The sequence below is a fragment of the Homo sapiens genome, chromosome 3 (genome assembly GCF_000001405.40).
Source record: "Homo sapiens chromosome 3, GRCh38.p14 Primary Assembly".
NCBI lineage: Eukaryota > Metazoa > Chordata > Mammalia > Primates > Hominidae > Homo > Homo sapiens.
The window spans coordinates 128,871,742-128,883,949 of NC_000003.12; the positions used below are offsets into that span (position 1 = coordinate 128,871,742).

General features: G+C 47.7%; 1 protein-coding gene and 1 long non-coding RNA gene across 6 annotated transcripts in view, besides 6 other annotated features; one reads left to right on the forward strand and one right to left on the reverse strand.

Moving 5' to 3' along the window:
- Positions 1 to 171: 171 nt before the first annotated feature.
- Positions 172 to 7,695, reverse strand: ACAD9-DT (ACAD9 divergent transcript). The gene is made up of 3 exons (NR_186174.1): positions 7,395 to 7,695; positions 1,819 to 1,960; positions 172 to 664 (listed from the first exon to the last, which is right to left on the reverse strand). It is a non-coding gene; the product is annotated as an ACAD9 divergent transcript (long non-coding RNA).
- Positions 6,749 to 7,600: an enhancer, noted in NCBI's record as "H3K27ac-H3K4me1 hESC enhancer chr3:128597333-128598184 (GRCh37/hg19 assembly coordinates)". NCBI's record gives its function as "activates a minimal SCP1, AML or CMV promoter by ChIP-STARR-seq in primed H9 embryonic stem cells {active_cell/tissue: H9 hESC(primed)}" and the evidence as "EXISTENCE:reporter gene assay evidence [ECO:0000049][PMID:30033119]".
- Positions 6,749 to 8,453: a biological region, named in NCBI's record as "H3K27ac-H3K4me1 hESC enhancers GRCh37_chr3:128597333-128598184 and GRCh37_chr3:128598185-128599037".
- Positions 7,456 to 8,005: an enhancer, noted in NCBI's record as "active region_20498". NCBI's record gives its function as "activates an Ori minimal core promoter by ATAC-STARR-seq in GM12878 lymphoblastoid cells {active_cell/tissue: GM12878}" and the evidence as "EXISTENCE:reporter gene assay evidence [ECO:0000049][PMID:35858748]".
- Positions 7,601 to 8,453: an enhancer, noted in NCBI's record as "H3K27ac-H3K4me1 hESC enhancer chr3:128598185-128599037 (GRCh37/hg19 assembly coordinates)". NCBI's record gives its function as "activates a minimal SCP1, AML or CMV promoter by ChIP-STARR-seq in primed H9 embryonic stem cells {active_cell/tissue: H9 hESC(primed)}" and the evidence as "EXISTENCE:reporter gene assay evidence [ECO:0000049][PMID:30033119]".
- ACAD9 (acyl-CoA dehydrogenase family member 9) overlaps positions 7,879 to 12,208 on the forward strand; it is a 33,495-nt gene continuing 29,165 nt past the window's right edge. For 3 of the 5 annotated variants that reach the window (XR_427367.4, NM_014049.5, NM_001410805.1), the window contains exon 1: positions 7,879 to 8,100. Coding sequence is in view for 1 of the 5 variants with exons in the window: in NM_014049.5 (NP_054768.2) it covers positions 7,951 to 8,100 (150 nt within the window). In the remaining 4 variants the exon portion in view is untranslated. Of the gene's footprint in view, positions 8,277 to 8,349; positions 8,371 to 12,208 lie in introns of those variants that run through there. The other 2 variants (NR_033426.2, XM_024453484.2) reach the window with 2 other exon arrangements.
- Positions 8,066 to 8,145: an enhancer, noted in NCBI's record as "active region_20499". NCBI's record gives its function as "activates an Ori minimal core promoter by ATAC-STARR-seq in GM12878 lymphoblastoid cells {active_cell/tissue: GM12878}" and the evidence as "EXISTENCE:reporter gene assay evidence [ECO:0000049][PMID:35858748]".
- Positions 8,454 to 9,305: an enhancer, noted in NCBI's record as "H3K27ac-H3K4me1 hESC enhancer chr3:128599038-128599889 (GRCh37/hg19 assembly coordinates)". NCBI's record gives its function as "activates a minimal SCP1, AML or CMV promoter by ChIP-STARR-seq in naive H9 embryonic stem cells {active_cell/tissue: H9 hESC(naive)}" and the evidence as "EXISTENCE:reporter gene assay evidence [ECO:0000049][PMID:30033119]".

Below are 12,208 nucleotides of genomic sequence, written 5' to 3' on the forward strand. Positions count from 1 at the left end.
TTGCTGCCTGCAAACCCAGGGAAAGACCACCTTACACCACATTATATGGCATCTGTAAATCAACATGGGCCAGCGGGAGACACCAAGGCCCTACCAGGAGCTGCTCTTTGATCACGAGGTTCACGCTGCATCTTTTCGGGAAGGTTAAAAAATAATAAATGACCACCAGGATCACAGAAGGAAAGAGCTCGTGATGTCCATGGAATTCACGCAGATCACATCCAGGAATCTTTGGAACAAAAAATTCACAACACCATGGCCTCATACAAAAATGCTGGGCTGCAGGAAACCTGAGGCAGAGAGCTCCATCATCACAGTGAAGTCCCCGCCTTCAGCAGATCCCACCAACAGCCACAGTGCTTCCCATCACCTGAAAAAAACTCATGTATCAAACTATTACACTTCTTCAGAATATTGGAAAATGGTGCATAGTTCATATGTTCTCATTTGTTTATCTTGTGTCCAAAGTGTCTTGTCATTCCAGGCCACTCTATTTCTTGTGTATTAATAAAAAGTTTGAGGTATAATAAGGCCTGCAGATCAGATGAGTAAAACTGAAGATAGTCACAGTTCCCAGAAGGAAGGCAGGGCCACACAGGAAGCAGCAGGGTCCGTCAGGAGGCAGAGGGAGGGGTACTCTGAGCAAGCACCTTTCCTGTGCTGCCTACAGGGAGAAGAGTGAGGGGCAATGAGCAAGCTTAGGAGAGGGCAGTTCCAATCATTCCAGTCCATAGGGGTCTGGTTCCTGTCACTGAGGTGATTAGGGCAGTAGGATAATGGTCCCAGTGTGACAGCCCACAGGGGAAGTGTCTGGGGTGCGGACACTGGATTGGTTGGTTTGTATTTGAAAAGTGGGTTGGGTACAGTGGCGCACAACTGTGATCCCATCACTTTGCGAGGCCAGGAGCTCAAGACCAGCCTGGGCAACATAGTGAGATCCCACCTCAACAAAAACTTGAAAATGAAAAAATTAGCCAGGCAGGATAGCACACACCTGTAGTCCCAGCTACTTGGGAGGCTGAGGCAGGAAGATCACTTAAACCCAGGATTCGAGGCTGCAGTAAGCTCTGATCACGCCACTGCACTCCAGCCTGAATGACAGGAGACCCTGTCTCTCTCTTGAAAAAGAAAAATAAAAAAGAAAAGTGTACCCTTCGGAGGAAGATTGCTCTGGGGAAGAAGGTGACGTGGGAGATAAGGGGCCAAGGCAAGGTGACTTGGCATATCATGAGGTTGTTCAGAACATGACGTCCCGCGTATACGTAGAGGGCAGGTGTTAAAGCTCCAAGTTCACAGAAGCTAGAAACTTGGCCAAGGCCAGGGCTCAGTACAGTGTCACCTCCTCAGAGAAGCCTTTTCTGCCTATGCCATCTACAGTGAGAGCCTCCCCTGTGCACATGTCGCTAGCCGTTCCCACTTCATCCCTTCATGACATTCGGGGCCTGTCCCCCTCAGCTCAGCATCCTTCTGGGCCTCCCACCTCACCCAGAGTAAAAGTCCTCAGAGCAGCCCCAAGGCCTGCAGGACCTGGGCCCCCTGACGTCCTAGGTCTCCTCTCCCACCACTGCCCTTCTCTCAGGCCACTCCAGCCCCATCTCTGCTGTCCTGGTTTCCCTGAGCCCTGCTTCGCTCTCTGCGGTGTTTCCCTCTGCCACCACACTGAGCAATACTCTGTTTGTCTCTCCTGCACAGTACCAGCAACAAGGAGCAGCTGGTTTTGTTTTTTTTTCTAAATTCCTGCTTTTGTCTACAGCCTAGATCATGGCTGAGCACATAATAGGGGTCAATAAATAGTAAAGGAGCAATTCTTCTCACCACCTGATACGTGTTTGTGCTCTCCAGTATCTACTCCTTCAGTGCACATTCACTGAGACCCCACTGCATGCTGGGCCTGTTCCAGAAACCAAGGCACACCAAGGGGAGAAGCAGGCAGAAGTCTCCATTCTGATGGGCTGACAGCCTAGTAGGAAAGAAAGAGAAAAAAATAAGGAAACAATACACAGGCAGGTGATGACATGTACCATGAAGGAAGACAAAGTCAGGACGTTTCTGAGAATGCCTGAAGGCATTTAGAGAACAACTAACGCAATGGGCAGAGTGTTCCAGATGGAGAGAATGCCAAGCGCAAAGGCCCTGGGGCCACGATGGACTCCATGTTTGAGTGTTTAGTCTGGATTCCTGGTTTTAAGTCTGTATTCAGCCTTTATTTCTAATCCTTCATGTTTCATCTTACCTAATTAACCCAAGTCCCAGTAATGCTGAGAGATGACACTGGCTTGACCCAATGTAGTATCAGAGGAGGGGCCTAAAAGTGGTCATTCTCAATATAACTAACTTGAAGGCAGAGAGCACTGGACTTGCTGCTCAATTGGATGTTGACTAGGAGAATAAGAGGGGACACAAGTGACCGCATATGTTCGGTCTGAACAAGTGGAATAAGAGTCGCCATTAACTAGATAAAGAACACTTGTGGGAAAACAGGACTGGGTGGGATGGGGAACTCAGATTTGCATATGCCACTTTTAGATGCCTATTAGATCTCTATATGGAGCTTTTGAGTACAAAGACAGATATAAAAACTAGAGTTGAGGGGAAAATCTGCGCTGCAAGAGAAATGTGAGCCATCAGGATATTGATGGTAGTTAAAGTCAGGACACTAAATTAGGTCATCCACGGGATGGTTGTAGAGGAAAAGAAATGTCCACATTCTGAGCCATAGACAACTCCAACTGTGCTAGTGAAAAACATGGCCAGTGTTTAGCAGTTGAGGAGCCAAGAAGGAACCAGCAATGGACACAGAAGTATCAGCCAGTGAAGTATTTAGAACATTCAGAGTATAGTGAGAATTGTGATTCAGAAACCAGAGAACAAAGTGTGTCAACAGGGTGGAAGGATGAACGGTGTCAGATGCCAAAGATGGGCCAAGTAGGATGAGGTCTGAGAACAGATCACATGATTTGACAACAGAGAGGTCACTACTGACTTCCATGGCCATTAGGGACAAACGCCTGAATGGTAAGGGCTCAAGATCCATTAGAGAGAACAGTTAATGATGCAGAGAAAGGAAATTACCCTTCAGTAAGTGAGAAGGTCTGGGGTCTAATGAGAGGTTGGTTTTGCCAGGAGCAGACAGTTCATAGTAACAGAATGTAGATAATGTGGGCACATATGCAGGGGGAGGGGGTAACTGTGCCTGTGAAGTTCTCATCTGACTGCATGGATTTTCCCAGTGGAATGGGAAGCAAAGCTGACAGCTGAGAGAAAGGGCAGGGCAGGACAGGTGGTGCCAGAGGTTTAAAGATGGAAACAGATCTGAAAGATTTGTGTTCTTTCTTCGCCATGCTGCTGGGAGGCAGGAGATCCCAGGATAGAGCACCACACTGCCCCAGGTCCTGGGTAAAAGGGTTTCCCATATGTTAAAGACATAGCTCTGCATTTCCTAGCAGGGCAAGCTGCTTTTAGTCTGAGTCTTAGCTTCTGCATCTGTAAAGTTGCTTGCTATAAAGGGATCAGCCTGACAACCTCAGAGGAATGTTCCAAAGAGAAGCCAGGGAATAACTTCTGTGATACAGGATCAGCCAACATTCAGCCAAGCTGAAAACAAGGCACCCCTAGGAAGGGGGAAACGCTACTGTGTTTACTCCTATTTTGTAGATGAGCACACTGAGGAACAGGGAGGAAAAGTGACTTGCTCAAGGTCACAAGATCTTCTTGAGCCTGCACTGTCCATGTCCTCTGCTGCACAGTACCTTCCAATCTCCATGCACTACATATCTCACTGGGCTCTACAACATCTTCAAGTGAGACAAATCACTAGCTCCATTTTAAAGCTGAATGAATTGAACCCAAGGCTAAGCCTTTCACCTCTAAGAGGATGGTGTGTTTAATAACCTAGCTGTTACTATTGGCTGGGTTGTGAGACCTGTGGAAGTCACCCTGCAGCTAGATTTCTGCGGAACCTCAAAGGCGGGGGTAGGGCTAGGGCTCAGCTGGCAAGGAAGCCCACAGGCCACTAGAGGGTGACATGGGAGCGGCATGGCCTGAGATGTTTAAGAATCAGAGAGGAAGCCTTGCACATTTTGGTGTCAAAACACCGGAGTCGAGGGTCACTCAGTAATCACTCACCTGGGTTTTCCCAAATTGTCCTGATACGAACGCTTGTCAAAACCGTTTCTGCCCAGGCACTCCCTTTCCTAGCCCCTGCCCCCAAATTAAGTTCTTCCCAAGGGAATGTAAGTGGAAGGAATCCGTGATTTCTGTCCGGTTTTTAAAAGATGGGATCGTTCTTCGCAGTCTCCTCTTCCCCCAGCTCTAGGCAGAGGCCTCTAGGCCCTTGGGGATGGTGGTGTAAGGTGGAAGGGGCAGGTCTTTGCAGCAGCATCTGCAGGAAAGCCTTTCTCCTACCTTTTGATGGTTTGGTGGTCTTTGGCTTGTAAAATAATCAGTCCAATCTCAGCCTCAGCTTTAATAGTAAGGGATCAAGCAGTAGTTTCTACTCAATGTTCCTCATACCCAGAGTCAAGGATTCTGCTATGCTAACACTAACATTATGGCTAAAGAATGTTCACTTTCTGTTAAGTTATGTTGTGAATCAGTTGTATTGATGTGAGGAGACATTCAGAACTACCATGAGGATATTTTAAACAGTTGTTAAATCAAGTTTAGCCTAAAGCTGCTTCCTTATATATTTTAAGTTCGGCTTATAGGTTTTCTGCACATTGTGAACTATAAGTGGAGGCATAAACAGACCGTAGCCTATACTTGTGCCAATCACAGAGTTTTTGCCAATCAAATGTAGCCAACTGTTCAAACCATGTTCAAATAAGGCAAGGCAGAGCTGTAACCAATCCAGCTGTTTCTGTACCTCACTTTCCTTTGCTGTCCATAAATCTTCCATTACATGGCTGTGCTGGAGTGTCTGAGCTTGCTCTGGCTCAGAAAGCTGCCTGATTTGAATCGATTGCTCAATTAAACTTTTTTTCTTTTGAGACAGAGTCTTGCTCTGTCGTCCAGGATGGAGTGCAGTGGTGCAATCTTGGCTCACTGCAACCTCCACCTCCCGGGTTCAAGTGATTCTCATGCCTCAGCCTACCGAGTGGCTGGGATTAGAGGCACTCACCACCATGCCCAGTAATTTTTGTATTTTTGGTAGAGACAGGGTTTCACAATGTTGGCCAGGCTGGTCTCGAACTCCTGACCTCAAGTGATCTGCCCACTTCATCCTCCCAAAGTGCTGGGATTACAGGTATGAGGCACTGCACCCGACCCGGCCAATTAAGCTCCTTTAAATTTAATTCAGCTGAAGTTTTTCTTTTAGTACACTGAACAGGGGAAACTGTTTAAAACAACATCATATTTCTCAGAGGCTAATACTTAAATATAAGATGGAAGGATCAAAGTGTAACTATTGTCATTTTTATCACTTGCTGTGCTAAGTGCTTTCATGTGGATTTACTTAAACCTTTTAAAAGTCCTGTGAGATAAAGGGTATCATACTCATATTTACAGATGAGGAAACTGAATTTAGAAACTAGTATAGTAGTGAAACAGCAAAACTCTTCTGCTATACTCTATTGGAGCAATTAGAAACTATGCCTTAACATTTTTCTAATTTTTGTTTTGTAAAATTCTGTGCCACTGGATTTCTCATTTGGTTGATTTAGGGAGACCTGTGTACACTAAACATTTGACACATTAACAGAGTACTTGACTGATTTGACTACATTTGTTTGGCAAAAAAGTACAGCAGCTCAAAATTGAAACAGTTTTTGCAACATATGTATATTTTTCTTTGTTTTACCTATGGGGATAATTTACAAAGGCAGTTGTTTCCAAATACCTTCTTGTGAAGCTGAATGCTAAGCAAGTAAATATCAACCACTGATGAAGAAACCAGGTGAGAGACCTTAGACAAGGTAAAATAATCTGAAAAGATGCCTGCAAATATTTTGCAGTTTAGACTCTACGCCTTGCAGAGTTTTGAGCTCTTTTTTCTTGATGTTGTGTTAGCAATGTAATCTTTTTTGGTGCTGAGCTTAGCTTGCTGAGATGAAAGGGATTTCTTTTTCTTCTCAAGGAGTTGACACAATGGAAGCTGGAGGCATTTCCCAACACTGTGGTCAATGCTACAGTCGGGGAACAAGCAAGTCTCCCCCAAAACAGGGATCGGAGTTTTTAAGGATAATTTGGCGAGTAGGAGCTCGGGAAGTGGGGAGTGCTGACTGGTTGGGTTGGAGATGGAATGATAGGGGGTTGAAGTGAGTTTTTCTTGCTGTCTTCTGTTCCTAGGTGGGATTGCAAAACTTGTTGAGCCAGATTACCGGTCTGGGTGAAAAAGCAGAGTGGCATTCTTCCTGGAGGAGCTGGCTGAAGATCTGTAGAGGGCCCATGTGCCACGTTCAGAGCACTGTTGGGCTGTGAGGTGCCAGGCATGCCCTGCCTCCTACGTGGGCCCCTATGGCCTGGCCTTGAAACCGCCACTGCAAAATTATAACCGAGACAATGAAAGAGATCTGACCTAACCAACTCCATCTTGCTTCTAACCTCCAAGCTGTCCTTGTTCATTCCTGAGCGTAGGCTGAACTAACCTTGGGAAGGAATGAGTTTATAGTTTAACTTCAAAACAAAAATAGCCCTTTCCCGGGAAAACAACAACAACAACAACAAAAAACAACCTCTTCTTGCCTGGGACCAGTTGGCCTTTGGAGGACTAACAAATTAGCTATAAGATTAGAAATTACAGTTTAGAGGCCATACAGCCTTTGGTTGCAAGAGTCTGAACGTCCCCCAAATTGTTCCTGGGAATAACATCACTGTTGTAAAACCTACCAACACCCAGACTGGTAATCTGGCTCAACTAGTTCTGCAATCCCATTCAGGAACAGAAGACAGCAAGAAAAACTCACTTCGGCCCCCTATCAGTCCATCTCCAACCCGACCAATCATGCACCTCCCACTTCCCGAGCTTCTACTCGCCAAATTATCCTTAAAAATTCCGATCCGTTTTTGGGGAGACCGATTTGGCTAATAAAACTCCCTTTCCAACACACCCGGCTCTGCGTGAATTACTCTCTCTCTATTGCAATTTCCGTCTTGATAAATCAGCTGTCTAGTCAGCGGGCTGTAACCTTGGGCGGTTACAGCCTGGCCTGTCCCATCCCATCCAATAGTTCCCATCTCTTCTCAGCTCTCTCTGTAGTTTCTCTTCCTCCGCCTGCCTTTTAAGTTAGTGTTTCCCAGGACAGAGGTGACTCAGTTGTATCCAGACCGCTCTGTGACTGAACACCCACTTTCTTTTCCTTTTCCAAAAAATATATGTAACATACATGTCAACTAGGAACAAAACAGTATCTCAGGAATCCACCATCCAGTTAAAAATGGACCCTTACCCTTACCGTGCCCCTGCAGAGACCCCAATACAGCGCATTTCCCTCATTCTTTTGCTTTTCTCAAGTTTTACCACGGCCTCGTGGCCACAAGTGACAAAAGAGACAAGTGGAGGCAGCTGAGCCGGCCTTTAGGTTTCTGTACACAGGGAGATTTCCCATGGCTGGCATTTATGGAAACAACCGCTGGTATGTGAAAAACAGGTCCGTCACCGCCGTCACGACGGCCAGAGATTATACCCGCCGAGATGCCCGCGGCCCAGGGCCTACAATTTCCTCCGGCCAGCTCCTTTGGCCGCGCAAGCGCAGTGGGGCCGGCGGGAAGCGTAGGCGTGTGACGTCATCAGGCGGCGCGGGCCAGCCAGGTGCACGTGACTAAGGCCTTGGGCGCGGCAGGTGGTAGCCTTCCCGCCCTTCTGGCCTCTCCATCCCCTGCTGCGGGGGACCGCGCAAGCGCAGTGAGTACTGCACGTTGTCGCGGGCCAGTAACGTCATCAGACGTGTGTGTGTCCCTGCGGCGCTAAGAAGGGGAGACTGAGGCTGAGGCTGGGGAACATCGGGCAGCATGAGCGGCTGCGGGCTCTTCCTGCGCACCACGGCTGCGGCTCGTGCCTGCCGGGGTCTGGTGGTCTCTACCGCGAACCGGCGGCTACTGCGCACCAGCCCGCCTGTACGAGCTTTCGCCAAAGAGCTTTTCCTAGGCAAAATCAAGAAGGTAACGCGAGCCCTGGGCGAACCCTTGCTGTCTGGCTCCCGCTTTTCACCCTCAGCTGCAAGACTGGTGTTGAACTTTGTGAGATTCCCCAAACCTGCCAGAGAGATACACCCTGCGGCCGAGGCGTGTTAACACTCCGGATTCCTGAGTTCCAGGAAAACCTTCCCAGAGAAAGGGTGAGACATTTCCAAGACGGGGGACCCTTGGAAATGTGGTGGTGACGTGTTCCAGCTAAATTTTGTCAGGGGAATTCGGAAAACTCTAGGCTAGGTAATTAACAAAGCAGCCTTCATCTCAGCTGGTCTGGTCTGGAAATGTGCGGGGCTTCCTCTCTGATTCCTAAACAGCTTACACCATGTCCCTCCTCAGTCACCTTCCAGCGCCCTGGGGCTTCCTTCCCCAGGTGAGCCCAGCGCCTCTCCCTGCCATTGAGGTTCCTCAGAAATCTGGCTCCAAGATGCTTCCCAAGGGTGGCACAACCCAGCCAATAGTAACAGTTTGGTTATAAAACACTCATTGTCTTCTTAGAGTTGGAAGACTTGGGTTTGGTCTTGGCTCGTTGACTTTGAAACTCAGTTGTTTTTTTTGAGACAGAGTCGCGCTCTTGTCGCCCAGGCTGGAGTGCTCACTGCAACCTCCCTCCTGGGTTCAAGCGATTCTCCTGCCTCAGCCTCCGGAGTAGCTGGGATTACAGGCGCCTGCCCGGCTTTTTTTTTTTTTGTATTTTTAGCAGAGACGGGGTTTCACCATGTTGGCCAAGCTGGTCTAGAACTGACCTCGGGTGATCCGCCCACCTCGGCCTCCCACAGTGCTGGGATTACAGGGGTGAGCCACCGCGCCCGGCCAAGACTCAGTTCTTTCAGCCTTAAAATGGAGATAGTGTTGTGTCTCCTTCACAGATGTGTTGTAGAGCCCCAGTGAGATAAACGGTGCATGGAGAGTCTTCTTAAACTGTAGAGTACTGTGCAGCAGAAGAGAGAGCTGGCTTCAACACTTAGTCTTGTGACCTTGGAGCTGACGGCTGCACCTCCCTGTGCCTCAGTGCATTCATCTACAAAATAGGAATAAACACATTTCTTGCTCTTTCCTTTGTATTTCATTTTATCTTCTAAGGAAACCAACAGTATACTTGCTATTTCGTCGAGGTGCCCTACTTTGAACTTGGCTGAATGTTGGCTGATCCTGTATCACAGAAGTTATTCCCTGGCTTCTCTTTGGAACGTTCCTCTGAGGTTGTCAGGCTGATACCTTTATAGCAAGCAACTTTACAGATGAAGAAGCTAAGACTCAGACTAAAAGCAGTTTGCCCAGCTAGAAAGTGCGGAGCTATGTCTTGAACATATTGGAAAACCTTTTACCCAGGACCTGGGGCAGTGTGGTGCTCTATCCTGGGACTTCCTGCTATCCAGCAGCATGGTGAAGAAAGAACACAGATCTTTCAGATCTGTTTCCATCTTTAAACCTCTGGCACTACCTGCCCTGCCCTGCCTTTACTCTCAGCTGTCAGCTTTGCTTCCCATTCCACTGGGAAAATCCATGCAGTCGGATGAGAAGTTCACAGGCACAGTTACCCCCTCCCGCTGCATATGTGCCGGTATTATCTACATTCTGTTACTGTGAACTGTCTGCTCCTGGCAAAACCAACCTCTCATTAGACTCCAGGTCTTCTCACCTACTCAAGGGTAATTCTTTCCTTTCTCTGCATCATTAACTGTTCTCTCTACTGGATCTTGAGCCCTTACCATTCAGGCATTTGTCCCTAATGGCCATAGAAGTCAGTAATGACCTCTCTGTTATCAAATTGTGTGATCTGTTCTCAGACCTCATCCTACTTGACCCATCATTGGCATCTGACACCGTTCATCCTTCCACCCTGTTGACGCACTTTCGTCTCTGGTTTCTGAATCACTGTTCTCGCCATTCTCTGAATGTTCTAAATACTTCACTGGCTGATACTTCTCTGTGTCCATTGCTGGTTCTTATTCAGCTCCTTGACCGCTAAACAGTGACCAGTGTTTCCAACTAGCCAAGTTGGAATTTACTAAGGCTGGGTCTCGTTTCATCTACAGCCATCTGCTGGGTGACCTTATTTAGTGTCCTGGCTTTAAATATCATCAATATCCTGATGCCTCAAGTTTCTTTCTTCAGTTCAGATTTCTCCCTGAACTCCAGATTCCTTTTGCTTTTTCAGAGTTGGGGGCTTTCTCTGTCACCTGTGCTGGAGTGCAGTGGTGCCATCATAGCTCACTGCAACCTTGAACTCCTAAGGCTCAATAGATCCTCCCACTTCAGCATCCCCAGTAGCTGGGACTACAGGCACGCCCTGCCACACCCAGCCAAGATTCTTTTTTTAATCTACCTTTGTACTCAAAAGCTGTACTAAGAGGTCTAACAGGCATTTGAGATTAATAGATCCCAAACTGAGTTCCTGGTTCCCACCCAATCCTGCTCCTTCCACCAGCCTTCTTTATCATAGATAATGGTGGCTCTGTTGTTCCACCTGTTCAAACAGAACACCTGGAGTCACCTTGTACTCTTATTCTCCTAGTCCACTTCTAATTCCACAGAAGATCTGGTTTTCTCTACTTTTAGGTTCTTAGAATCTGACCACTTTTAGGCCCTTCTGCTGCTACTTTGGATCAGGCCAGTGTCATCTCTCACAGCCTTACTGGGATTAGAGCAGAAACATGGGACATGATGCTTAGAATCTCAGATTGTGTAGGCCAGTGGTTGTCACCCTGCCCTAAGCTGGACCCAAGCTATTCATGGAGTGTCCTGGAACTGCTGCAGGGATGGGTGGGAAGTTGAGTGGGTGGGATTTGGGTGCCTGTTTTCCCTATCAGCAGTCTCAGTCAGAGCCGCCTGCTTCTGTCTGTTTTACATATTTGGTTTCTGCACTAGATTTCTTTGAATAACAGGTTCCACTTTTTTAGATAATTTACAAACTGTTTATTGCAATTGAACTCTCCTCCCCTAAGGCATTGACCTGATTTGATAACATCAGGATCTTTCTCCCACGCCCCTGCAATCTCTCCTGTGTGGCAGGTTTTCTGTGGTTGTACCTGAAGGCCAATTAGTTGCCAGGCAGTCTTATCTGGCCTGCCCACTGGTACCAGAATGATCTCTAACACAGCCCATTGCACAAGACCCAAGTGTCAGTGAGCCTCTGTGTTCAGTGAAGGAGACTGAGCTTTGATATAAAAGGCTGCAGAGTGATGGAGCCATCAGCTTGTTTTTTTTTTTTTTTCTTGTTTTTTTTTTCCTTGAGACAGTGTCTTACTCTGTTGCCCACCCTGGAGTGCAGTGGTGCAATCACAGCTCACTGCAGCCTCAACCTCCCCAGGCTCAGGGGATCCTCCCACCTCAGCCTCCTGAGTAGCTGGAACTACAGGCGTGTGCAACCACGCCCAGGCTGGTTTTGAACTCCTGGGCTTTAAGCAATCCCCCTGCGTCAGCTTCCCAAAGGACTAGGATTACAGGCAGTAGCCACTGCAACCAGCTAAGCTTGTTTTTTTCTTTTTCTTTTCTTTTTTTTTTATGGAGTCTCACTCTGTCACCTAGGCTGGAGTGCAATGGCGCAATCTCGGCTCACTGCAACCTCCACCTCCCGGGTTCAAGCAATTCTCCTGCCTCAGCCTCCTGAGTAGCTGGGATTACAGGCGCGTGCTACCAAGCCCGTGTAATTTTTGTATTTTTAGTAGAAACGGGGTTTCACCATGTTGGTCAGGCTGGTCTCAAACTCCTGACCTCGTGATCCGCCCGCCTCGGCCTCCCAAAGTGCTGGGATTACAGGCGTGAGCCACCGTGCCTGGCCTCCAACCTTTTTTTTTTTCTATACCACCTTCAGGGTGGTTTTGGAATGGATGGAGGCAGGGATTCCTTTAAGTTGGCTGTCACTTTTAGTTAGGGACTCACCTATAAGCCTGTGGTCCTGGGCCCAGAGAGGAGAAAGCAGTGCGAGCATATTGATAGAGTAGAGAAATCTGTTGGCTGATTAGCTGTACAAGGTCTGAGGAGAAGGTTGAGGTCTCCCCAAGACTTCTCTAGAACACTTGGTGAGAGGCGCCATGAGGACAGGTGATGCTTGGGCTTATAGCTCTGACTCAGG